General features: G+C 52.4%; 1 protein-coding gene across 7 annotated transcripts, besides 2 other annotated features; it reads right to left on the bottom strand.

The window, feature by feature from the left end:
• On the bottom strand, positions 15-26066 carry SLC45A1 (solute carrier family 45 member 1). Of its 7 annotated transcripts, none has more exons than NM_001379614.1 (9): positions 25994-26066; positions 19454-19874; positions 18790-18882; positions 18138-18362; positions 13244-13971; positions 8566-8743; positions 6188-6364; positions 4482-4687; positions 15-433 (listed from the first exon to the last, which is right to left on the bottom strand). In NM_001379614.1, exons 2-9 carry the CDS (start codon positions 19848-19850, stop codon positions 167-169), a joined length of 2271 nt encoding a protein of 756 aa, NP_001366543.1. In that variant the 5' UTR covers positions 19851-19874; positions 25994-26066; the 3' UTR covers positions 15-166. The 7 variants fall into 7 exon arrangements, with proteins under 7 accessions (NP_001366543.1, NP_001073866.3, NP_001366544.1 ...); NM_001080397.3 differs by having other exon boundaries at positions 8590-8743; NM_001379615.1 differs by lacking the exon at positions 18790-18882.
• Positions 564-1304: an enhancer, noted in NCBI's record as "H3K27ac-H3K4me1 hESC enhancer chr1:8402936-8403676 (GRCh37/hg19 assembly coordinates)". NCBI's record gives its function as "activates a minimal SCP1, AML or CMV promoter by ChIP-STARR-seq in naive H9 embryonic stem cells {active_cell/tissue: H9 hESC(naive)}" and the evidence as "EXISTENCE:reporter gene assay evidence [ECO:0000049][PMID:30033119]".
• Positions 25957-26236: a silencer, noted in NCBI's record as "silent region_194". NCBI's record gives its function as "represses an Ori minimal core promoter by ATAC-STARR-seq in GM12878 lymphoblastoid cells {active_cell/tissue: GM12878}" and the evidence as "EXISTENCE:reporter gene assay evidence [ECO:0000049][PMID:35858748]".

Here is a 27004-nt window from a genome sequence, read left to right as displayed (position 1 = left end):
GCCTAGAAACCATAGGCTTTGCCGCTGTCATTTATTATTTTATCACATATTTACATTCCAGTAGGCAGCCAGTCCCCCTGTCCAACAAGGCCCTTTGGTCCTCACTGGTCGGCCTGCTCCAGACCCCCAGGTGCAGGCGCGTGTCCGGAGTCGAGGCTCCGCGATGTCAGACGTTCAGCAGGAGGGGCCGGTGCTCCTCGTCTGCAGCGTCGCTGGGAGGAATTTCATAAATGACAAACAGGGAGGAGTACAGGCAGCCCAGGAAGGACACGAGGCTGGAGAAGTACATCACCCCGTTGGCACTGCCCACGGCCGAGGTCAGGGGCCCCAGGACCAGGGAGACCAGAATCTGAGCCAGGAAGTACTGGCAGCTCAGCAGAGAGATGTCCACGCCCATGCCCCGCCGGGTGCCGTCCGCACTGGACCCTGCAAACTGACCCAGAGGAAGAAACGTGTCAGCGAGACACGCCGCGGCCAGCACGGGGTGACCGAGCTCGGTGTGTCCTGCGAGCCCAGGAGGCCCGAGCGGCCCACACACAGCGGCCTCACATTTTTCAGCGCCAACATGCACAGGGAGTTCAGCCAAGAGTTTAACAATATTTGTGTTCGGAGAGATGACGACAATGAAAAGAATCCATGACTAATGGGGCAGAGGGCTGAGCTCCCACGGGCCGAGGTGGCGGGAGACACTTTCCCCGCTCAGCACTTGAGCTCTTCCCCATCCTCTCACCCAAAGAAAACCAATCTGCCCAGCCAGGCGACCGCTCCACTCCTGCCATCCCCTCCTTCACCTTCATCCAGGATGGGACCTGCCCTACACCCCCAAAGTCCTCTGCACATGACAGCCGCTGGTCCTCTGTCCGAGGCTCCAAGGTCCTCGTGGCCTCCAGCTTGGGCACGTCACTCACTCTCCCTCCCCTGCATGCCATGCTGGGGGACAGTGGCTGAGAGTGTGGTCTGTGCAGAGTGACGGTGGGGAGCGGTGGCATGGCTTTCCCTCACTGGGCTCCCCCAGCACCAGCCGGCCTGCAAGGTGCTGCGTGAGTGGGCATTGCTGTGACCTGGGAGCCTGGGCCTCCCCTGCGGCTTCCCCCCATCAGAAGGGCTGTGCTCAGGGCCAGCCCAGCTGAACTTGTCAGACTCCAAACTCCCTAAAACAAATCAGGCCCAGGCCTGGGGGAGGCAACTGAGGCATGAGATTAAAAGGGAGAGAGAGAAACTCAGTAATCCAGGTCACATTTCTTTTCTTTCTTTCTTTTCTCTTTTCTTTTTTTTTTTTTTGAGACAGGGTCTTGCTCTGTTGCCCAGGCTGGAGTGCAGTGGCACAATCTCAGCCCACTGCAGCCTCAGCCTCCTGGGCTCAAGTGATCCTCCCACCTCAGCCTCCCGAGTAGCTGGAACTACCGGTGCATGCCACCACACCTGGCTAATTTTTAATTTTATTTTTTTAGAGATGGGGTCTGACTATGTTGCCCAGACTGTCCAGGTAATATTTCAATGCAGCATTTTAAGATTTCAAAGTCACTGCAAAGGAAAATTATGGTGGGAACATTATGTGACCATAAAAGGGAAGGAGGCGCTGACCCAGGAAACAGCACAGATGGAGCTCGAAGCCCACAGCTGCACTGCAGATGCCAGACACGAGAGGCCGCAGACTGCCTGACTCCATCACAGGAGACGTCCCAAATAGGCAAGTCCATGGGGACAGGAAGAAGGTTAGCGGTCACCTAGGCCTGGGAGAGTGGGAGGGTCAGAGGGGTGATGGCTGACGGGTTTCTTCCTGGGGTGACAAAACTGTTCTGAAATTGATGGTGGTGATGGTTGTACAACTCTGCGTGTGCTGAAACCGCCGAACGGTGCACATCACACACTGTTAGATGGTGCATATTTCAATACAGCCGGTAAAAGTCTATGCTGAGCAAAATATCAACAAAAATTTAAGGCACTTTATTTATGTATGTATGTATTTATTTGAGACGGAGTCTCACTCTGTCGCCCAGGCTGGAGTGCAGTGGCACGATCTCAGCTCACTGCAAGCTCCGCCTCCCGGGTTCACGCCATTCTTCTGCCTCAGCCTCCAGAGTAGCTGGGACTACAGGCGCCCGCCACCACGCCCGGCTAATTTTTTGTATTTTTAGTAGAGAAGGGGCTTCACTGTGTTAGCCAGGATGGTCTCGATCTCCTGACCTCGTGATCCACCCTCCTTGGCCTCCCAAAGTGCTGGGATTACAGGCGTGAGCCACCGCACCCGGCCTATTTATTTATTTACATAGCCACTGTCACCCAGGCTGGAGTGCAGTGGTGCAATCTTGGCTCAGTGCAACCTCCGCCTCCCAGGTTCAAGCCATTCTCCTGCTTCAGCCTCCCAAGTAGCTGGAATTATGGGCACGGGCCACCATGCCTGGCTAATTTTTGTATTTTAGTAGACATGGTTTCGTCATGTTGGCCAGGCTGATCTTGAACTCTTGACCTCAAGTGATCCATCTGCCTCGGCCTCCCAAAGTGCTGGGATTACGGGCGTGAGCTACTGCGTTTGGCCTTTTAAATGCCATTTTTCCTTTTGCCTCAGACTCCAATATGAGGTGGCTCAGCACTGTTACTGATCCTTTTTTTTTTTTTTTCAAAGTATTACTATCTTTTTTTTTGAGACGGAGTCTCGCTCTGTCGCCCAGGCTGGAGTGCAGTGGTGCGATCTTGGCTCACTGCAAGCTCCGCCTCCCAGATTCACGCCATTCTCCTGCCTCAGCCTCCCGTGTAGCTGGGACTATAGGCGTCCGCCACCACGCCTGGCTAATTTTTGTATTTTTAGTAGAGATGGGGTTTCACCATGTTGGCCAGGCTGGTCTTGAACTCCTGACCTCAGGTAATCCGCCCGCCTCAGCCTCCCAAAGTGCTGAGATTACAGGCGTGAGCCACCGCACCCGGCTGTGAAGTGAAATTTCTATTCATTGTCCCTCTTACTCTTTTTTTTTTTTTTTTTGAAACGGAGTCTTGCTCTGTCGCCCAGGCTGGAGTGCGGTGGCACCATCTCGCCATCTCGGCTCACTGCAACCTCCGCCTCCCAGATTCAAGCGATTCTCCTGCCTCAGCCTCCCGAGTAGCTGGGACTAGAGGCACGCGCCACCATGCCCAGCTAATCTTTTGTATTTTTAGTAGAGATGGGGTTTCACTGTGTTAGCCAGGATGGTCTCAATCTCCTGACCTCGTGATCCACCCACCTCAGCCTCCTAAGTACCTGGGACTACAGGTGTGAGCCACCACGCCCGGACCCCTCTCTTACTCTTAATTTATGCCTGATTATTTTTCTTTATGCTAAATCCATAATCCGTAACGAGATTTCAGCTGTCCTTTTCTAAAGGACGGGTACCATATCCTTTTAATCTGCTTGATAAGGTACTCAGGCCTGTCCAAATAATGAAATGGTTTCGTTGTTATTAAGCCATGCCCAGTATTTGGGCAAAACCAACATCTAATAAATTACACTGTCACCTAATACCCACGGTTGATGGGAAGCCATGAGGAACAAGGGGAGGTGATAAAACCGGCAGGTGGATCAAGGAATAAAAGCCAAGAGAAATCTGAGACCAGAGGGCAAGAAACGTCTAGTCAGGATTCAAGGACAGAACTGAAGTTCCCACAGAAAAAGGATCAGGAGCTGAGCTGGCTATCAGAACCCCTAGTACATGGTGAACTGATCCTCTCTTTATTTAAAATTTTGGGCTGGGTGCGGTGGCTCACGCCTGTAATCCCAGCACTTTGGGAGGCTGAGGCGGGCGGATCATGAGGTCAAGAGATTGAGACCAGCCTGACCAACATGGTGAAACCCCGTCTCTACTAAAAATACAAAAAATTAGCTGGGCATGGTGGTGCGTGCCTGTAGTCCCAGTTACTCGGGAGGCTGAGGCAGGAGGACCACTTGAACCCGGGAGGCGGAGGTTGCAGTGAGCCGAGATCGCACCACTACACTCCAGCACAGGCATCAGAGCAAGACTCCATCTCAAAAAAAAAAAAAAAGAAAGAAAGAAAGATGTTTTTGTTCTCCATGGATTTTTGGCAAGAATTCTGATTTTTAAAAATACTGCATTAACATGTTATCGATCTGGATTGCTGAGTTTTCCGAGCTTCACTGCCTCCCCATAAGCCCCACCCTGAATGGCTGGGACAGGCATCAACAGGAGACCCGGTGGCCTGACAATGGAGTAGGAAGGGGCAGCCTCCCATTCCCCACATCCCTGGGAAGGACAGAGCCTGACCCAGAGCCTGGGTGGGCTGGAGGCTTCTGCTAATGAAGCAATGAGGGGATTACAGGCAGGGGGCACGCCCCAGACTCAGAAGGGCCCCCCTTGGTTTCATGCTCTGTGGTCGCTGTCTTGACATTTTGCACCGGGCTCTGCAGATTGTGCAGCTGGTCCTGGGGGACAGTTCTCAGGTGGGGTTTCTCCAAGAAGCAGACCCGAAGCAAGACAAGGGAGAGCACTTACCTTCTTACTCTGATAGTAATCGCAGAGCAGCGAGTAAGGCAAGGTGCACAGGGTGGAAAATAAAATCCCGTAGGTTATGCAGAGCGACAGGACCACGTAGAGGTTCCTGGAGAGGGTGGCAAGCCCGGTCCCCAGGCCGAAGGCGAGATAGGCGATGAAGTAGAGGGTGCGGACGCTGAGGAACTCCTCCAGCTTCTCCAGGATAGCTGCGGGCCACAGAGAGGGTGAGCAGTGCCACACGGCCAGAGCCTCCGGGGATTCAGCTTCCAGTGCCACCTCCCGGCGGCTGACCTGAAGCTAGCAGTGGTGGGACCCGGCTTGGCAGGTCACTTGCCCCAGACCAGAAAGTACTTCCTGGGGAACCCAGGGGAGCTGAGAGACCACCCCAGTAATTCTGGTGGGTGCCCAGGACAGGGCTGTCTGGATAGATGGCAGGACCAGGGTGTCCTGTTCACACTGGCCCGGGCCAGGTCCCCCAGGGCTTCTGCAGGTGGAGGGGTCTTGGGGCTGTGACACCAAAGGGGCTCAGGGACTGAGGGTCTCGAGTTAAACCTCTGTGTTCTTGTGTAATTGTGGGTACAACAGCAGCCCATCCCGTAGCCAGCCACCATCTTTACACCCCCAAGATGATGTGACAGCATGGATGTCAGCGACGGGGCTCCCTAGAATCAGATAAAATGGGGCCAGTTCCCCACGCCCCAAGGCCACATGGCTATGGGGGAACCCAACACCCGAGGTGCCACCCCATGGACTCACAAGTGAGATCTGACAAATTTCTTCTTGCCGCAGCCCCTCAGTGACCCTCTACTTTGGGGCTTGAACCCACAAAGATGGGGGCAACTAAAATAAAGCAGTTGGCAGATTATGGATCGAAGGCGAAGTCCAGCCTGCAGCCTAGTTTTGTAAATTTAAAAAAAAAATTAATTTAAAAAACCAAAAAAAGATGAATATTTTGTGACACGTGAAAATCACATGAAACTCGTATTTCAGCGAACACAGTGCGGTTTGATTGGCGCTTGGCACGCCCACTCGGTTTCCCGTGTCTGTGGCTTTCGGTGAGGGGCTGCAACAGAGACCGCTGGGCCGGCAAAGCCGGAAATACCAACTCTCTGGCCTTTTGCGAAAAAAGTATGCGGACCTCTGGGATAAAATTTGCCCGGTGCACGCTACCGGCCAGGCCCCATGGGGATGGCACCTCGGCTTCGCCCTGGTGTGAACTCAGCACTGTGCTCCAAGGGTACCCCAGACAGAGAACCTCAAAGTCATCTGGGCCCCTGGCCCCTGCCCACCCCTACGCTCCACGACCACACACCCCTGCCCCCACCTCCCTGGGGACCAGTTGCTCCTTGAATCAAAGTGGGAAGGAGCTGGGGGCTGGTGGACAGCACGCTGCCTGGGTGTGGCCTTGGGGTTCCCCCAGGGCCCCCCACTTCGCCCTCGCTATGGCCTGCCGGTGTAGTCAGGTCCTGACAAGCACCCGTGCCCCCGTAGGCCACCAGCTCTGGGAGGCCTGAGGCTGGTAAGCTCCATTTCTTCAGCCCAGCTCCCCCAGGCCCAGCGCCCTGCAGCCGGGAAAGACAGTGGCGTCCCCCAAATTGGGATGTGGTGTCTGCAATCGTAAGGCCATGAACCTGCCTTCATTTCGCATGCTCCATGGACCCAACCAAAGCTCTCACTGCCGTGCCAGCCTGGCTGGCAGCGGGTACCTGAGTAGAAGGCAGCACTGAAGGCGTAGATACACATGCCCCAGCAGCCCATGGTCACGCCGCTGTTGTACTTCTGATACGCCTCTGATGTGTGCGGGGCCTTGGGGTCCCCCTGAAACACCACCTCGCCCATGAAGTCTGTGTAGAAGAGCAACATCCCCTCGAATGAGAGCCACCCTGGAAGAAAGAAAGAGGTTCATGACCTCGGGGGCAAAGGCCAACACTCTGCCCTTTCTCTAACCAACATGCGTCTACTGGTTATAAAAGTAATGAGCAGCTGGGCGTGGTGGCTCACGCCTGTAATCCCAGCACTTTGGGAGGCTGAGGCGGGCGGATCACAGGGTCAGGAAATCGAGACCATCCTGGCTAACATGGTGAAACCCCGTCTCTACTGAAAATACAAAAAATTAGCCAGGCATGGTGGTGGGTGCCTGTAGTCCCAGCTACTCGGGAGGCTGAGGCAGGAGAATGGTGTGAACCCGGGAGGTGGAGCTTGCAGTGAGCTGAGATCGCGCCACTGCCCTCCAGCCCGGGCGACAGAGCGAGACTCCATTTCAAAAAAAAAGTAACAAGCAATTTAAAATTGTGTTCGTTTCTGATATGGTTTGGCTGTGTCCCCACCCAAATCTCATCTCTAATTGTAGCTCCCATAATCCCTGTGTGTCGTGGGCGGGACCCCGTGAGAGCTAATTGAATCATGGGGTTGGGTCTTTCCCATGCTGTTCTCATGATAGTGAATAAGTCCCATGAGATCTGATGGTTTTATAAATGGGAGTTCCCCTGCACATGCCCTCTTGCCTGCCACCATGTAAGATGTGCCTTTGCACCTCCTTTGCCTTCCGCCATGATTGTGAGTCCTCCCCAGCCATGTGGAACTGTGAGTCCATTAAACCTCCTTTTCTTTATAAATTACCCAGTTTCGTGTATGTCTTTATTAGCAGCGTGAGAACAGACTAACAGAGTTTCCTTACAATTTTTTTATTTTAAACCACCATATATTTCTATAAACATGAGGCAAGGGTAGCAGTGGAGGTGCTCCAGCTACCTGGGTGGTGCAGGGGAGGGGATCCATTTAATTGGGAGAAATCCACCGGGAAGCACAGACATGGATGTGCTGGCGGAAGTGCTTAGCGCTCCGTTCCTTGAACCATGGGAATTCCTTCTTTGGTAGAGGAAGGTGGTATTTATAGGCCCTCTCGAACCATAATGAATTATCATCTACAATGTTCTATGCCATCAAGAATTATTAAATAGACTTGTTTTGATGGCAGCAAAATATTTCACAGTGTGGGTGCACCCTAATATATTTAACCCTTCCCCAACTGTTGGACATCTCTATCCCCCAATCGCAGTCTGTGGCTGTCTGAAACCATGCTGTGATCAATACCTTGCATGCATATTCTGAATATAGTCTTTGATTATGGGCTTGCATGGAATACTGAGTAAGGTCATAGGGGAAAAAGGTAGGACCATTTTTAAGATTCTCACCCATTACAAAATTGCCTTCTAGAAGGTCATGTTGATTTATGTCCCACAATGTATGAGAGCCCCAGATTATCTCAAATTCTTTTTTTTTTTTTTTTGAGATGGAGTCTTGCTTTGTCACCCACGCTGGAATGCAGTGGTGCAGTCTCAGCTCATTGCAACCTCTGCCTCCCGAGTTCAAGCGATTCTCCTGCCTCAGCCTCCCAAGTAGCTGGGATTACAGGCACGCACCACCATGCCCAGCTAATTTTTGTATTTTTAGTAGAGATGGGGTTTCACCATGTTGGCCAGGATGGTCTCAATCATCTTACCTCGTGATCCACCAGCCTCGGCCTCCCAAAGTGCTGAGATTACAGGCGTGAGCCACCGCGCCTGGCCTCAAATTCTGAATCATGCTCAAATGTTCAACCACTCGACAGCAGAAAGAGACTAAATGGAATGAAACGCAAGTTGGTGCTTTTCAATGCTCATACAAAGGCCGAGCCGTGTGAATTTACAAACAGCAATAGACACGGGCAGGCAGGTGTGGGGTCTGTGCTTGAAGACAGAGCAAGACAAAGTTGGAAGGTGGGAAGGTGGGAAGGTGTGGGTCCATCATTTCACTGTGGAGTTGTCCAAAGGGCTTCTGGTAGTGAGAATTTTGGCTCTGTGGGGACCCAGGTGTCGGGCCCAGAGTGAGCTATGTGGCTCTCAATGGTGACACCTGGTTTAGTTTGGGGCTATGCAGGGCAGGCACCCTGGAGAAAAGCCCTCCAGGGCAGCCACCACACCCCAGGCCTGCCCTTGGTGCTGTTGTTGGGGGCTGGTGAACTCAGAAAGGTTCTGGGAAGGGAGGCTCAGGGGCATCCTGGGAGGCCAGTGGGGCGAGAGCCCTGAGCAGGACCAGGACTCACGGGGAGGCTTGGCCGGGAGCTCACCCAGGAAGTGGTTGACGCAGAGGGTGCGTAGCGCCTTGGGCATGTTGCAGATGGTGGAGCAGAGGCGCCCCACGGACAGAGGCTGCTCCGCGCGCTCGCTGGAGCCCGTCAGCTCGCTCTCATACTTCACGCCGTTGAGCAGGATATTGGCCACCTGGGAAGAGCCCACAAACCCCTCATCAGAGCCCCGCACCCCCATCACACAGCGCAGACCCTGCTCTGCTCAGGGGAATGCGCTCTCGGAAACACCGCACGGAGGCTGCAAGGGTCTGTCTTCTTATCTGACGGCATGAGCCCCGTGTCGACGCCAACCTCAGAGGAACAAATTCAGGGCATTGTTTCCGAGGCCCCGGAGCAGCTAAGGCTAGAATTCCATTTCAGGTGTGCCCACAGTGTGGCCACAGGACACTATCTGTGCCACAGGGAGTGAGATAAGACTTTGCAAAATGCAAAATACATTTGAAATGAAAAAACATGGGTCAGTTCAGATCCACACGCCTAGGAAGTCCTTTCTTTTTTGTAAAAGAAGACTGGGAACGACTTATTTCAAGGTGGCCACCAGGAACATGTGTTCAAAATTCTCTCTGGACAGGTGGAACCCCCACCACACAGAAGACAGGGCGGCCCTGCCCACATGAGCACCTCAGCCCTTGACAGGGGCTCAGAGAGCACACGACACGCCCCACGGTCAACAGGATGGAAACGGGTGCGAGGGGCTTAGATTTCTTTCTGGGGCTCAAGAACAACATTGCATGGACATCTTCACTCGGTTTGCAAACTCCTCCTGGAACGAGAAGGTTTCATTCCAAGTAGCCCTGCTTGGGTTTGGGGTACAGACTCTGGTCAGGGGAGCTTGTTATTTCGTTGTTGTTGTTGTTTTTGTTGTTTTAGAGACAGTTTCGCTCTGTCGCCTGGGCTGGAGTGCAGTGGTGCGGTCATGGCTCACTGCAGCCTCGACCTCCTGGGCTCAAGTGATCCTCCCACCTCAGCCTCCCGAGTAGCTGGGACTACAGGCGAGCACCACCACACCTGGCTAATTTTTAAAAAATTGTTACAGAGATGGGGTCTCACTATGTTGCCCAGACTGATCTCAAACTCCTGGCCTCAAGTGGTCCTCCCACCTTGGGGAACTAGTCGTTTTTGAATTTAGATGTTTGAGAGCAAAGAGGCGTTGCTGCCTGGCTCCACTGGGATGTCTGTGGTGCGGTCCGCCCTGGATACTCCTGGTGGGAAAGGAAGCTGAGAGGCCGCAGTGCCGGCTCCCAGGACACCCACATCGGCAGAGCGCGTCCCCCATGCCTGCGGAGGAACAGCGCTGCAGTTACGCCTCTGTCTCCGTTGAGCCTGGATGCGTTTATATTTAGCTCATGATTTTTACTTTCCTCAAAGAACTGATGCATAAACTACACTCTAAGGAGAAAGGAAACAGAAAAAGGGGATGAAGAAGAGATTTTCAACCACACCTAAACAACCGGATCTAAAGCCAGTTTGAACTTTGTGAAACAGTCTGGGACGATCCAGTGTTGACAAAGACCAGATTAATTACCCTGGCATCATCCACAATGAGGCTGACGGTGCCCTCAACCTGAGCGATTAGAAAACCTCTTTCCTTGATAAGGATGGACTTTCCTGGCTCTCCAGTGATTTCCAGTTCCTCAAACCCTTTCCAGACGGGAGCTCGCTGTGTCCTTGGTGCCACCAGGAACCTCAACAGATGTCCCTGTGAGGCCTGCGCATGCCTGGGCAGTGTCCTTCCTCACGCTGAGACGGTACGCAGGCGTGAAGACACCCCGGCCACACACACCAGAGAAAAGCAAACGAAAGGCCCCATCCTGCTCACTCCAAGGAGGAAACAGGGCTGGGCGCGGTGGCTCACGCCTGGAATCCCAGCACCTTGAAAGGCACAGGTGGGAGGATGGCTTGAGCCCAGGAGTTCAAGACCAGCTTGGGCCACATAGTGAGGCCCCGTTTCTACAAAAAATAAAAAATTAGCTGGGTGTGGTGGTGCACACCTGTAGTCCCTGCTACTCAGGAGGCTGAGATGGGAGGATCACTTGGGCCTGGCAGATTGAGGCTGCAGTGAGCCGTGAATGCACCACCGCACTCCAGCCTGGGCAACAAAGTGAGACCCTGTATCAAAACAAAACCAAACAAGGCCGGGCATGGTGGCTCACACCTCTAATTCCAGCACTTTGGGAGGCCAAGGCAGGGGGATCACTTGAGCCCAGGAGCTCAAGACCAGCCTGGGCAGCATGGTAAAAGCCTGTCTCTACATTTTTTAAAAAAGTAAGTAAAAAACAAAACAAGACAAAATAATCAAAAAAGAAAAGAAATAAAAGAAAAAAAAAAAAGGAAAGGAAAAGAAAATGAACAGTGCAAGCCCCATCTCTAGTTAACCTCCGACTAAATCAGGGAAGTCATCTAGGCAGAGATGGGACACCTGAACCCCTGACGGGAGAATGAACTGAGGACCAGGTCCCATTTAAACCCAGTGGGATGGGGCCGGGCAGAGCAGGGTCTACTTCATTCAGGAGACACGGCCCACGTGCGTCTGCGGCCGAGTGAAGTGTCTCCTCGGCTAGATCTCCAGGCTGCCCAGCTTTTCCAGCTGACTCCCTCGAGGGATGAGGCAAACGAGACTCGGCTTTGTAGGACCGGAAACACCACGTTCTTACTGAAATATACTCTCCTCCTGCAACGCCCACAGGTGCAGGCCAGCAACTCTTATGTCTACTTTAAATAAGAGAATAACCTTTCTTTACTTAAAGACCATGGATTCTGGCCGGGTGTGGTTGCTCACGCCTGTAATCCCAGCACTTTGGGAGGCCAAGGTGGGTGGATCACTTGAGGCCAGGAGTTCGAGACCAGCCTGGCCAACATGGTGAAACCCCGTCTCTACTAAAAATACAAAATTAGCCGGGCGTGGTGGTGGGTGCCCGTAGTCCCAGCTACTCAGGAGGCTGAAGCAGGAGAATCACTTGAACCCGGGAGGCAGAGGTTGCAGTGAGCCAAGATCGCATCACTGCACTCCAGCCTGGGCAACAGAGCAAGACTCTGTCTCAAAAAAAAAAAAAAAAAATCAGCCCGTGAAACCCCACAGATCAGTTGGTGGCCTTGCAGCCCATCTGACGTATACAACTTAAACATACCAACTTAAATACCAACTTAAACAGCTTTCCAGAAGGTTCTTGGCCTTCGTGGAAGATGGCGCTGCCCTGGAGATTCCTGTTTTTATAGCCTCCGGAAGTTAACCGACGTCAGGCACCAGGAGGGACGATCCCAGACACATCTGCAGGTTTCACGTTTTGTTTCCACCGTCCATGAAGACTTGGATGTATTGGCACAGGATTCCCACTGCCAAAACGGGCTGGAGCCCGGACGTCTTGGGAAAAATACCAGAAACAAGTGGGGTGCACACTATGCCTCTAAGAAACTCACTAGCAGGACAGGCCCGGCCTGAATTACATTTGGGCAAACGTAAGTGTTTAAAAGAGTTGTCGGCCGGGCGCAGTGGCTCACGCCTGTAATCGCAGCACTTTGGGAGGCAGAGGCAGGCGGATCACGAGGTCAGGAGATCGAAACCATCCTGGCTAACACAGTGAAACCCCGTCTCTACTAAAAATACAAAAAATTAGCCAGGAGTGGTGGCGGGCGCCTGTAGCCCCAGCTACTTGGGAGGCTGAGGCAGAAGAATGGCGTGAACCCGGGAGGCAGAGCTTGCAGTGAGCCAAGATGGCGCCACTGCACTCCAGCCTGGGCGACAGAGTGAGACTCCGTCTCAAAAAAAAAAAAAAGAGTTGTCACTGTCGCTCCCAGCCAGGATTTTAAGCCACCTGATACCTAACAGATGTCCTGAACTCACTCACTCATAGGTGGACTCAGGCCCAGAACTTGTTCACTAACATGCAAGGGAAGACGTCACGTTTCTGAGGCTTGTCTTTTCTTTTTCTGAGACAAGGTCTTGCTCTGTCACCTGGGCTGGAGTGCAGTGGTGCAATCATGGGTCACTACAGCTTCACCCTCCTGGGCTCAAGCCATCCTCCTTCTTCAGCCTCCAGAGTGGTTGGGACCACACATGTGTGCCATCAAGCCCAGCTACTTTTTGTATAAAAAATACTAAAAAGTATTTTTTAAAAATATTTTTTTTTTAAAAATATTTTTAAAAGTGTTTTTTAAAAATATTTTTTAAAAGTGTTTTTTAAAAATATTTTTTAAAAGTGTTTTTTAAAAATATTTTTTAAAAGTGTTTTTTAAAAATATTTTTTAAAAGTGTTTTTTAAAAATATTTTTTAAAAGTGTTTTTTAAAAATATTTTTTAAAAGTGTTTTTTAAAAATATTTTTTAAAAGTGTTTTTTAAAAATACTAAAATACTAAAAAGTAGAGACGGGGTTTCGCCACGTTGCCCAGGCTGGTTTCAAACTCCTGAGTTCAAGCGATCCTCCTGCCTTAGCCTCCTAAAGTGCTGGGACTACAAACTTGAGCCACCGCACCTGGCCTCTAAGGCTTTTCTCTTTAGGTCAAAGCACTTGATAACACCCCCATAACAGCCGGGAATTTCTTCCTGGAGGGACTCTCCCTCTTTGTCATGTAACTGACCAGGGGACCCCCGAATGCCACCCTCTGAGCCTCAGCTCCCCCGACATTTGCTGTTACCTGCTGACTGAAGGTCACATTCCTTCTCCTGCTGGTTTCGGGACCCCCTCCTCCGGCTGCGTCCGGGATGGCCAAGGTCTGAGGTCTCTTCAGAATCCCTGATGACCTCGGCTTAGAGGTGTCCAAGGAGCCCACCCTCAGAATGTCCCCGTCACAGCCGGAGGTCAGGGCACCCTCTCTGCCCTCCAGAAGTCCACGGTCCTGGCGGTAGAAGCCGTCGGGGGCCCGGGGGAAGCTGACGCTGATGGGCGGCCTGGGGACGCTGCCAGGGATGGCCAGGTAGCTGTCGTGGCCGCCCGTGAAGCAGTCAATGAGGACGCTGTCTATGTTGGCCGTGCCAAAGGATGAGGCGAACTCGCTGATGCCCGTCAGGGAGCTGTCCCTGCTGATGAAGCTGCCGTACTTGGGCGTGAGGGGGCTGGGCGGCGAGATGGGGCTGGAGAAGTTGGTGGCCGTGTGCGACGGGAGGCTGTCGCCAGGGCCTTCCTCTGGCAGGACGGGTGGGGACGGGGGCAGCGGGAGGCTGGGGCTCTTCATGGCTGCCCGCTTCTCACTCGGCGGCCGCAGCGGCCTCTCAGGGATGCTGACCAGGGTCAGGACGGTGGTGACGCTCAGGGTGACCGCAGTGAAGAGGTAAATGACTCGGAGCTGTCCCCCCAGGGCCCTCCCGAAGCCCGTTTTATCCCAGTGGATTCCGCCGACCACGTATCCAAAGCCTCCTCCGAGACCTGGGGAAAGAGACAGGGTTTGAGTTCCCTTCTGCGGGAGGAGAAGCCCCAAACGCGGTGGCCCCGTTCTTAGAAGGACATGAAGGTAGCCAAGGCCATTCCAGGGACGTGGGCACAGAACCTGTTCCACCTAAACCCCAACAAAATGGGACAGGATTCCCAGGGCGGGCCCCTTGAGGAGGTCCCCCTCCTGTCCTGCACAGCCACCTGCAGGGCCCTTCCTGGTGTGACCCCCGGCAGCAGCACAGTGACCACCTGCCTACATCCCCTTCCACTTCCTGCCTGTTCCACTTTCCCCGTAACCTTTCAGGCCCCTGGAGCGAATGTTGACACCGGGCACATCCTCCCTCCGAGGGCCCCTCCAGCTCAGGGCCGACCCCATGGCTCACACACAGCCGACCACATGTGTGCATGCGGGTGTTTGTCCCCATGCACAGAACACCATGAGGAGAGCCGCCCCCTGTGGTGACCACAGATGGGTCCTGCCTCCCCACACCCTGGCAGGCAGCTCTCCGATCTCTGAGCTATCAGCCTACAGCAGAAAAGCAGGGATCGGATCACTGCTGTTTCTGCTCTGTTCTCATTCCACGCCTCGGGGCACCGGCCAGCCCAGCCCTGGCCACAGAGCATGGCAGGAAACTGTGAGCGATGCTGTGGGGACCCGGCCAACAGCAGTGGGCAGATTTACCTCCAAACACTGCAGCTTCTTCCAGCCAGGCTCTGTGCTTCGATGGCAAGAGCCAGGGAAGCTGCAGGGGCACCACCCCAGCCAGCTGCGGGTCCACGACACCCACCCCATCAGGGATCCGGTGTTTTATTTTGTTTTATTGTGAGTTCAGCTACATTTTGAGTCGGTCTAGTGTTGAGAGGAGAGGAGGGTTCTCTCGGTTTACCGCTGCTGGTGAGGAGCAACCTGCCTGCTACCAGCACGGGATTTTTGGTTTAGGGAAGACTTGGCCACATTAGGGGTTTACCTTTCAAATAAGAACTTCTATGGACAGGCTTGGGCTTCAGACACGCCCAACTCAGCCTTCCACACGTACCTAAGGACCGTATGACCATGGATCTCATTATTTCGAGGTTTCACTGTAGATCTTCCTTTGTTTGTCCCAGACGGGCCTTTTCATTTCACTTGGCGTGTCCATTCAAAAGCTCCAGTCCCGTCCCTTCTCTGCCTCTGTTCTTCTAGACTTGGGAGTCTTTTTGCCTCCCCACTGCCCTCCCAGGCATTTTATTATTCTTGACTTCCCACACTCATGATTCTAATTGCCTTCCCTCCTCCCCTCCTGAAAGACACCATTGCTGTTCGTGACCCTTATCCAAGGTCAGATTTCAGAAGAACTTTATTTTTTATTTATTATTTTTCTTTGAGACGGAGTTTCACTCTTATTGCCCAGGCTGGAGTGCAGCAGCACCATCTCAGCTCACTGCCACCTCCTCCTCCTGGGCTCAAGTGATTCTCCTGCCTCAGCCTCCCGAGTAGCTGGGATTACAGGCGCTCACCACCACGCCCGGCTAATTTTTGTATGTTTAGTAGAGATGGGGTTTCACCATGTTGGCCAAGCTGGTCTTGAACTCCTGACCTCAGGTGATCCGCCTGCCTTGGTCTCCCAAAGTGCTGGGAGTACATGCATGAGCCACCACGCCCGGCCCAGATGAACTTTACTAGCTAATTTTCTTGAATGATCAAAGTGGTGCATTCTCATAGACGGGCGTAAGGTAAAAACCGACGTCCTTCTTCCTCTCTGCCAAGCCCAGCACTCGCCCGGCATGGCCCCTTTAGAAGTTCCCTCGCCCACAGCAGCGCACGTGTGGAAAGAGGAAGAGAAGCGGCAACATTTTCCAGGAGATGCGACCGAGGCTTGTGGAAGTAGAGCCATTTGCGCCACGTGGACTTTCAGCTCCCAGAGCCCGAGCCCCTAACCACTGGGTGACCCAGCCTCTTCATTCGGGTCCTGTAATGAAGGCCTAATGTCTCATTAGGCTTTTCCCTTGATTTTTAAACATTGTTCCAATATCTGTTTCTTTTTCAAGACTAGTCAAGTGCAGCAGTGAGGGTTGGGGAAAGAGTAGAGGAAGGAGTTCCATCTGTAACTGACTGTGGGCAATCAATCGAGATAACTCACTACCTTCGGCCCAGCCAATTGCTATTTTATTTTATTTTAATTTATTTATTTTGAGATGAAGTCTCACTCTGTTGCTCAGGCTGGAGTGCAGTGGCACGATCTCGGCTCACTGCAACCTCCACCTCCCGGGTTCAAGCAATTCTCCTGCCTCAGCCTCCCGAGTAGCTGGGACTACAGGTGCGCACCACATGCCAGGCTAATTTTTTGTATTTTTAGTAGAGATGGGATTTTGTCATGTTGGCCAGGCTGGTCTTGAACGCCTGACCTCAAGTGATTCACCCACTTCAGCCTCTCAAAGTGCTGGGGTTACAGGCATGAGCCACCACGCCCAGCCCCAGTTGCTATTTTAAATGGAATTTTTTTCTTCCATTTTATTCTGTAACAAGGCAAGTATTTTATATAGACAAGCTAGAGTTATTTATTTATTTAATCTTATGTTTTTAGAGATGGGGTCTCACTGTTCACCCAAGCTGGTTTCAAACTCCTGAACTCAAGCAATCCTCCTGGCTTAGCCTCCCGAAGTGTTGAGAGTAGGCCTGAGCCACTGCACCCAACCAGTATTGATTTTTATACAGTACATTGATAACTAAGCATCATGCTGAACTCCTGCACTGCTTTGCAGCTAATTCTCTTGAAGTTTCCATACGTCCAGCCCCAGAGACCAGTGGGGCTGACCTCACACCTTTTGTTTGTGTGTCCCTAATGGCAGTGGCTCTGTGGGATGGGTGCATTCTTGCCTCATTCCTGACTTTGATGGGAACATTTCTCCTGTTTCACCATTAAGCATGCCACAGGTATGTATATATACATACATATATGCATGGTATGGATATAGTCGTGTGTGTGTCCATGCACACACACTCAATCCTCATTATCTGTAGATTCTGTATTTGTGAATTCACCTCCTCATTTAGTGAGGAAAACTCAGAACCAATCCTCACGGTGCTCTCAAAATCATTCAAGGATTTGCACAGAACAGCACAACGCCTGTGCTTCCAAGGGTGCGTGATCCAGCTGAGGCCCCGCAGGGCTGAGCTCTGCCTTCTCGTCTCCACGCTCATACTGGAAACAAGAGTTGGTGTTTGTTTGTTTGTTTGTTTTTGAGATGGAGGTTCGCTCTTGTTGCCCAGGCTGGAGTGCAATAGTGCGATCTCAGTTCACTGCAACCTCCGCCTCCCGGATTCAAGTGATTCTCCTGCCTCAGCCTCCCAAGTAGCTGGGATTACAGGCATGTGCCACCACGCCCAGCTAATTTTTTGTATTTTTAGTAGAGATGTCGTTTCTCCATGTTGGTCAGGCTGGTCTCGAACTCCCGACCTCAGGTGATCCACCCACCTCACCCTCCCAAAGTGCTGGGATTACAGGCATGAGCCACTGTGCCTGGCCGAAACAAGAGTTTTTTGTGTGGTCTATTTAGTGCCACCTTTTTTACATTTTTGTGTTTTTTGTTGGTGTTTCACTGTTTAAATGGCCCCCAAGCTGTCTGACGTTTCCAGGTGCAAGAAAGCCGGATGTGCCTTGTGCAGAAAATGCATGCGACAGTGACGCTTCGTTCAGGCTTGAGTTGCAGCGCTGTCGGCCGTCAATTCAATGTTAATCAGCCAAAGGCACAGATGAAATAAGGGGTTTTAAACAGAAACACATACAACAAGGTTATGTGTTGATCCGTTGATGAAAACGTTGTGACTGGAGGCTCACAGGAACCTAACCCTGTATTTTTCCTAGGAGCGAGATGCGGTGTTTGCTAATTCAGTGTTTGTGGTGACTCTGCAGAACATAACTACCTCAAACAATGAGAATCCACGAATATAAACATTTGAATTTATAGACCTATAATTGTTGTTTATGTGTCAACAGCATAGGTTGTGGTTGATATGTGTTGTGTGAGATATGTATTTTCAATCACTTCAGTGTTTCTCCATGTATTGGAATTCTCCCAGCTTCTTTGTTAAATCAGGGAGTGAGGAAGGGCCTCGAAAGCCACACGTCTGAAGCCTGCAGCCCGGCAGATTCAGCTTCGGCCCTGCTGCGGAGACTCACCTGCCAGGAGGGCGTGGATGTTCAGGCCTCGGTCCTGGTCTGCGGGGCTGCACACGTCCATCATGTAGGCGTGGCTGGGGTTGTCCGCCGAGTCGGCGCTAAAGTCCATCAGCACCACACCGCACACGGTCAGCAGCAGGCCCCACTTGTGGTTCCCGGTCACGTCAGCCAGGGCGATGCCAATGTCCCGGCCATTCAGCAAGAGCGAGAGGCCCAGCAGTGCCCCTGGACACAGAGAAACAAAGTCACCCCAAGAAAATGCAGACCAGCTCTGTCCCCGGCAGCTCACGACTTATGTCTAGAATCTTTAGGACTCAAGAATTTTTAAAACTTAAACCTCAAGCACAGCCCGGTGGAAAAGCCGCCTGCAAACTCACCATATATTTTGCACTTGGATGGGGGTTTTTATTTCATTAAGCAGAGAAGAAATGAGATGAACTTTATCAACTCAATTTTTAAAAATGATCAAAGCGATCTATTCTCACAGTTAACTGAGGCCAGGTTGCGGGGCACTCCCTGCCTCACACCAGTGCGGGCCCAGAGCTATCTGGGTAACTGCTTTGGTCAACATTTTTTAAAATTTTCCTAAAAGGAAGCAGTTGGGGCCTTTTTTTTTTCCTCTCCATTTTATTTCCATGCCAAAACAACAGACCTATAGCCAGGACAAGAATGAAAGGGCGTCTCCTTCCAAACCTTGAGGTACACCGGTCACTCCAAGCACCCAACAGAGGCTGCAGTAGGAATCCTGAAACAGAGCAGGCCAGCGGTCATTGCCAGGGTCCCCATGGCACATGGGGACATCGAATCAGCCTCCACATTCCTGAAGTGCCTGCTCTCAAACACCCCCAGTGCATCAAAAGAATAAGATGATGAAACAGTCAGTGACAAAACCCTGAACTCGGAAACCAAAGCTCAGCAGACTCTGGGGATTGCTCAGCATCTCCTTAAATCCTCCACTTTGGACCCTAAGGCCCTAAGCAGCCACGACTTTCCTTGGGAATCCAAGAAATTTCAGGACCTTCCAGGCTCACATGACACCAAGCGTTATGAGTTGGACCCTCCAACAAGGAGAGCCTGGCATCAGACGGTGTCAGCCCTCGGGGAGCTGCTAAATCCCTGTTCTATTGTCTGCTTTCGATAAGGAACTTAAAATCTGGGATATGACCGGTGGTACCTGTGTTCCCCACAGTCCCAGACTGATGAAGGGAACTTAACTCTTGATCCTCCCTTCTCCCCTCAGGACCCTCAGGCTACTGCGATGAGGCTTCTGGAGGCTTCCAGAGGCCCTCCACCATCGGGGAGGAGCCGGGGCTCACCGAGGATGGGGCTGATGAACCACACCAGGCTGTAGAGCTGGTCGGGCAGGCCCATCTGCAGGAGCACCGGGGTCACGTACGCCGTCTCCATGGCGTAGCTGAACTCGATGCCAAAGAGAATGCAGCCGTTGAAAAGCAGCTCCCGGAAGGACCTCTGGGGGTGCAGGTCCCCGAAGTCCACCAGCTCAAGCGGGCACGGGGTGTTGGGGGGCGGGGGTGGGGAGGGACGAATGCACTTCCTCCTCTTGGGGTGTCGTTTGAAGTTGTTGGCCCGGTGACTGAGGTGTCGTGTCACGGACCCCGAGTAGCCCGTGACCTGGGACCTCCAGAAGTCCTGTGGGGCCACGCTGGGGAAGAGGGCATCTCCCGGCGGGGTGCTGCTGGCTGCGGGGATCATCGTGGGGAGGGCTGGTGGGCGTCCCTGTGAGGAAAGCCCGTGGGGAGGCCACAGTTACTTTTGCCTGGGTAGTCCTCCCCCAACATTTGAGTTCACACTGCAGAATTTAGAGTCAAACACCATCCCCCGAAAGCAGAATGCACTGCTCATGGTTGATGCTCCGGGGCCTCACTTTCCCATCTGCAGCTCCTCTGCCCCAGGAGGCCAAAGCCCAGTGCCTTCCCTACTCAGAGAGAGGACCCCCGTCCTGCAGGTCCCCACCTCAAACTCAAAGGGACCATCCCCCAAACAGAGGCTCGGTCAGGACTGTCCTGAGGAAGTGAGAGCCTCTCAGCTCCTCTCCGGCCTCCAAGGACACCAGGCTATTTTAGGACCTGCGGCCCATTTCCAGGGCTAATTTTGCCCTTCCCTGAAGGTCCCAGGGGACCAGAGAGGAAGAGAGACTGGGCATGGTTAGGAACCACCCCCCCGGCACCCTGAGTGCTTCCTCGCGTTGCGGGGACAGCTCCTCTGTCACCAGATAGAGTCAGAGCCAGTCCTCTCCACTCCCTAACGCTTGTGTTCCCTCCTTCGCGGTAGGCCAGGGCACTCTCCCTAAAGGCAGCTGAATGGGCTTAACACAAACCCTTTTCCTTCAGCACCCATTGACAAGTGAGTTTTAGTCCAGTGGGGAGAACTGAGGCTTTGACAGTGTTCGAAAATGCTTTCTTTAATAAGCCGAACTCTGGAATCCCGTAGTCACAGACAACATGCGAATGCAGAGGGACAGAACCAGGGAGAGCTGAGAAACAGATCCCCACCCCCCAGCTTCAACTTACTTTTTTTTTTTTTTTTTTTTTGAGACAGAGTCTTGCTCTGTCGCCCAGGCTGGAGTGCAGTGGCTTGATCTTGGCTCATTGCAACCTCCACCTCCCAGGTTCAAGCCACGCTCCTGCCTCAGCCTCCCAAGTAGCTGGGATTACAGGCACCCCCCACCACGCCCAGCTAATTTTTGTATTTTTAGTAGAGACGGGGTTTCATCATGTTGGCCAGGATGGTCTCTATCTCCTGACCTCGTGATCTGCCCACCTCGGCCTCCCAAAGTGCTGGGATTACAGGCGTGAGCCACCGTGCCCAGCCTCAACTTACTTTTTAAACATTTTCACAATGCCCATGACCTAGGTAAGGAGAGAGCAAGTTCAAGGCCTTCCCAGATAGACATCCTTCCACTCCCCTCCCGCGCTGTCCTCTGCCCAGCTGGGGTTTGCAATCTGCACCACTTAGGCACCGGTTCCAAAGTGTCGAACTGTTTTTCACTGCTTTGAAATTAATCTGGATTATTAATATTAACAGAATGGATTCTAATATGTTAGCTTGTGTGTTTTAGCCGATGTCCACTTGTATAAGCACAAGGAGAGAAAAGCTGCTCAGATCAGAGGGAAAGAGACAGATACCAACATAACAGAGGGGGTGGGGGGTTCCAGGATTCTCTCAGACACAGCCCACCTGCTCCACAAAAAAGCAACAGACTAAATTCCCTTTGAAGTCCTTCCTGAGACGTAGGCCCCAAACTGGGACAACTTTCCCAACATTGATTTCTGATGATGGCGCTTGTCATTGACCAAGATAAATATCACGGGCTTTCTCTCAAAATTAGTTTTAAGCTTCAAAAGTAAGCCACTTTTTTCCTGACATTAACTTACCATACCACTTTCCATCACACTATCACTAGACAATAAATTATTTATGAATCACTCTGAAATTCCTCACTCCAGATTTGTATCCAAAACTCTTCCACCACCCCACCCACTCAGAGATTGTCTTTCTTCTCTTTGGAAGACACCAATGGTGAAAATGATTGGATCTAGAGACATCCCAGCAGGATAAAGAACACTGTGTTAATCCAATGACTCATTCATCCATCCATCTACCCACCCAACTATCCATGCATCCATCCACTCACCCACTCATCCATCAATCCACCCACCCACCCATCCATCCATCCATGCATCCATCCATCCATCCATCCATCCATCCATCCATCCATCCATCCATCCATCCATCCATCCATCCATCCATCCATCCATCCATCCATCTCATCCATCCATCCACCCACCCACCCATCCATCCATCCACCCATCCATCCACCCACTCATCCATCCATCCATCCACCCACCCATCCATCCATGTAACTATGGACCCACGCACCCACCCATCCATCCACCCACTCAGTCACCAATTCACCCACCCACCCATCCATCCATGTACCTATCAATCCACCCACCCACCCATCCATCCATCCACCCACCCACCCACTCACCCATCCATCCATCCATCCATCCATCCATCCATCCATCCATCCACCCACCCATCCACTCATCCACCCATCCACTTGCCCACCCATCCACGTATCCATCCACCCACCCACCCATCCATCCATCCATCCACCCACCCATCCATGCACCCATTCATCCACCAGCCACTCTTCCATCCACTCACCCACACATCCATTCATCCATCTTTCCACTCAGTCATCTACCCATCCATCCTTCCACACATCCTCTCTTCCATTCATCTATTCATCTGTCTATCCAAAAACTATCCACACATCCACCGACCCGTTCTTCCACCCACTCCTCTATCCATCCTTCCACTCACCCATCTACCTATCCCCCCTTCCAAACATTTACTCATCCACCCACTCACCTACCCAGCCTCCAATTCATCTGAGTACTGAGTACCAAGACACTGAGATAAGAGAGATAAAAGACACAGTTCTTGTCCTTGAGTTAGGTAAAAAGGTGGAGGAAAGGGCCTTCCTGGGGGGTAGAATCATTGGGTAAAAGACAGATATGAGTAACAGTTGGGCACAGTGGGGGTGGGGTGAGAGATGAAGCCCTCAGGAAGGTCTTAGCTAATCATGGAGGGCCTTGAAGCCTTGCTAAGAGATGGGTTTTATTCCAAGGTGACAGGGAGTGATATAGCAGAGACAGAGTCTCCTGTCACTTCTATAAAAGACTTATCCTGTGGCTTTGGAAAATACCACGCTTTCCTGTAGGAAGAGAACAGATGAACCTAAGAACCATGTAGACAAGTAATACTTCATTTGAAATAGAATTCATTTATAAGGAGTAAATCAAGATTAACATGTTTAAGAAGCTAAGCTTATTTATGTTCCTCACTGGCCTAGCTCAAGCACTTCTGCATGGTAAAACCTGGTGATTGGCAGGTCTTCCTTTCAAAACCCCAAGCAGCAGTTAGCATCCCCTGGAGCTTCATTCATCAAAAGCACAGAAATAGAGCGCCAGTTCCAACACTGTGTAAGACCATCTCCTTCAGAGTCAGAGGCGAGACCCAGCACAGGTGAGGTGGACGGTTGGATCGGACTCCGCCCAAAGGTCACAGCCCCACGTATGCTCTCAGTGGCCATCTCCCTTTCTGTCCCTCTGCCCAGCCTCTCCCCACCTGCAGGCACACAGGCATATCTCCCACTCTTTCTAATCAGCATTTTAACCATAATGTGAACTTAAGTGCATTAGAAACCTTCCCTTTAAATTTGGAATGAAGAACTGTGGCCCAGTTTGGAAAAACTTCAGCTTTAAACAGCATATGGCAGGTGTGTGTGTGTGTGTGTGTGTGTGTGTGTGTGTGTGTGTGTAGAGAGAGAGAGAAACAGAGAGAGAGAGAGAGAGACAGACAGACAGACAGACAGACAGAGTCTCCCTCTATCTAGCCCAGGCTGGAGTGCAGTCATCATCGCTCAGTGCAGCCTCAACCTCCCTGGGCTCAGGTGATCCTCTCACCTCAGCCTCCCAAATAGCTGGAACTACAGGTGCACACCACCACACCAGGCTAATTCTTGTATTTTTTTGTAGAGATGGGGTTTCGCCATGTTGCCCAGGCTGGCCTCAAACTCCTGGGCTCAAGTGATCCACCTGCCTTGGCTTCCCAAAGTGTTGGAATTACAGGCATGAGCCACCATTCCCAGCCCCTGAAGTGTCTTTTTGAAAAGAGGAGCCTCTTTGACCTTATTTAAAGTGGACTATGTAGACGGCCCACTTCTCTACCTGCAAGAGGACAACTCTACTGCCACCTCCGCCACACCCCACTGCAGCCTGTCCTAGCAGAAGGGAGATCCTCACACACTCAATGAACTTCTCTCTAGCATCTGAACCAGAATTAAACCTAGCTTAATCCTGGCTCAGAAGAAGTCTTTACTAAGGATTCATCTTCAAATCTGGGGATCAGCATTACCATTTTTATTAAAACTACATTTAGTAAAAACTGTTCACAAATGTTTATCATAAGAAGAATTTTAGAAACTCATTTTTGAGACCGGGCACAGTGGCTGACGCCTGTAATGCCAGCACTTTGGGAGGCCGAGGTGGGTGGATCACCTGAGCTCAGGAGTTCGAGACCAGCCTGGCCAACATGGAGAAACCCCGTCTCTACTAAAAATACAAAAAATTAGCTGGGCATGGTGGCGAGTGCCTGTAATCCCAGCTACTCCGGAGGCTGAGGCAGGAGAATCGCTTGAACCCAGGAGGTGGAGGTTGTAGCGAGCTGAGATCGCACCACTGCACTCCAGCCTGGGCAACAGAGTGAGACTCTTGTCTCAAAAAACAACAACAACAACAACAAAAATCCATTTTTAAGGTTCCCATAAAAATGGGTGAAAGTGGAATTTAAGATCATAAAATCTAATTTTCATGCACAAATACAAACATTCGCCAGACCATCTTTACTGTACCATATGACCATTTACTCGGTCAAAAGGAAATCCACTCATCTCCCTGGATCCCCCGAAGGCTATGCAAGGGGTCCACTGTGCTTCCAGAGTACAGAGGATGCTTAAAGTAACAGATTCCTCAAACTGTGTTGTGGGAAGTTTAAGCGGCAAATGATTAATAAAAGTAATCAATGTCAATGTAGTTTGAATGCTTACAATGATCCTACTACGAGCGGAAACCATTTCCTCATTTCTTTCTTCTCGTTATGAAAATGAGCTCCCCCCACGGGGTTGCCTTGGGCCACCTCCCTTCCTAGGGCGTATTTGCTTATTTGTTTATTTGAGACGGAGTCTCACTCTATCGCCCAGACTAGAGTGCAGTGGCATGATCTGGGTTCACTGCAACCTCCGCCTCCTGGGTTCAAGCGATTCTCCTGCCTCAGCTTCCCAAGTAGCTGGGATTACAGGCATGTGCCACCACGCCCGGCTAATTTTGTATTTTTAGTAGAGATGGGGTTTCACCATGTTGGCCAGGCTGGTCTTGAACTCCTGACCTCAGGTGATCCACCCGACTCAGCCTCCCAAAGTGCTGGGATTACAGGCATGAGCCACCGCGCCCGACCCCTCATGCTTCTTTCTACCCATTCTCAAAATTCTTCAGTGAGGTCCTCCAGGACCAGGAAGGTGCTCTACGGACTTGGGAGGGTGCACTTAATAGGCTAGTTACTGAATCGTGGCCGTTTCCCACTTTGCATCTCCGGCAGCTTGACCCCTACTCCAGGGCCAACTTTTCCCAAAAGCCCAGGCCAGGTGCAGCCTGAACGTGGCTTTCCTCCGCCCCTGACTCTGCTTCCCTGTAAGAGCTGAAAAACATGCACGGCTGTCACTCTAGAAATAATTAGAGAAGTTGCTGATTGTCGAGGGCAGAAGGAGCTGAACGGCTTCCACCTCAGCGCGTTCCCCTTGGTGCTGACTCGCTCGGGAAAGGGGAGTCCTCGGTGCCCTCGCTAAGTAACCCTGGGATGCTGAGGGGCGTTGCCAGGCCCCTGGTCAACAAGAGGGCTCAGCCCCACGCAAGAGGTGAGCCGGGAGCGGATGACACCTGCCCAGGTGACTAGGGACCAGGCCTCCGGCTCAAGGAGCGCATCAGGAGCTGGGGCCAAGGCCGGGGTCTCCTCCCCTTGCCAGCAAGGATGAGAGCACCTGCCATCTGGCCGGCACCCTCCCCTGGGCCCGAGGCTCCTGCCCTCGGAGGGGCGAGACGGGGGAGCTCCGTGGACTCTGCAATTCATGAGACTTCCACGAGGAACAAAGGTCTCCGTGCCGGCCTCGGGTCCCGGTCTCGGCGCCCTGACTACCCCGGGGCCCAGGGCGCGGCGCCCCGGCAGGCACGGAGCCAGAGAGCGGGCGGAGGGCGCGGAGGAGACGGTGGTACCTGTGGGTGGAGACGGCAGGCATCCCTGTCCCCGCTGGGCTGCTGCCTGCCCGGCCGCGGTCCCGGCTGCTGCAGCATCACCCGGGGCGGGGCGCTGACGTCACGGCCGCAGCCTCCGCATCCGCGCGGGGCCCGGAGCCTTAAAGCGGCGCCGCGTCTGGGGCCCCGCGGGCGGGAGGGGAGCCCGGTGTCCTCCTGGGCCCTTCCCGCGGGAGGCCCGTCCCGGTGCTTCGCGCACGACGGCGCGGTCTGCAGGATCTGCCAGGATCCCGGAGGAAAACGTCCCCCCGGCCTCACAGTTCTCACCGTTTTCTTCTGATTTTAAAAGAAATAAATACATTTTCGTGTCTTCATGTATAAATAGATACCCATGTGTTCGCGGATACGTGAATGCCGCAGTGCGTGTGCCAAGCCTGTGCCCATGTGCGCAGTGGGGCAGCCGGGCCTGCTGGAGGCGTCGCGACTCTGGGCCCGGAGCTGTCCAAGGCACTGGGGATGCCGCAAGAACAAGGCAAAGTTCCCGCCCCTGGGGGAACTTTGTAATGTAAGTAAATACATAAATACTTTATGTATTTATTATTTACTTCATTTTTTAAAATACAGAGAGGCAGGGCCTTGCTATGTTGCCCAGGCTGGTCTCGACTCCTGGGCTCAAGTGATCCTTCTGCCTCGGCCTCCCAAAGTACAGGTGTGAGCCACCGCACCCGGCTGCATGACATTTAAGAGAGAGACACACACACATTAAACAAGACATAAAATAAATGGTATGTCAGAAGATGGCAATGCCCTAGAGAAGGGGTTAGGGAGTGTGGGGCTGCAGAGGCGCTGGCCTTGCAGGTTTCTATCAGGTTGTTGGCGAGTCCTCACCTGGAAGGTGACACTAGAAGGAGGATTTGCGGAGCAGGCCGGGCACGGTGGCTCACACCTGTAATCCCTGCGCTCTGGGAGGCCGAGAGGGGCAGATCACCTGAGGTCTGGAGTTCGAGACCAGCCTGGCCAACATGGCAAAAC

Source organism: Homo sapiens, chromosome 1, assembly GCF_000001405.40.
Source record: "Homo sapiens chromosome 1, GRCh38.p14 Primary Assembly".
Classification (NCBI taxonomy): domain Eukaryota; kingdom Metazoa; phylum Chordata; class Mammalia; order Primates; family Hominidae; genus Homo; species Homo sapiens.
Note: the sequence above shows the minus strand (reverse complement) of the source record. Positions and strands in the feature narration are given on the sequence as shown.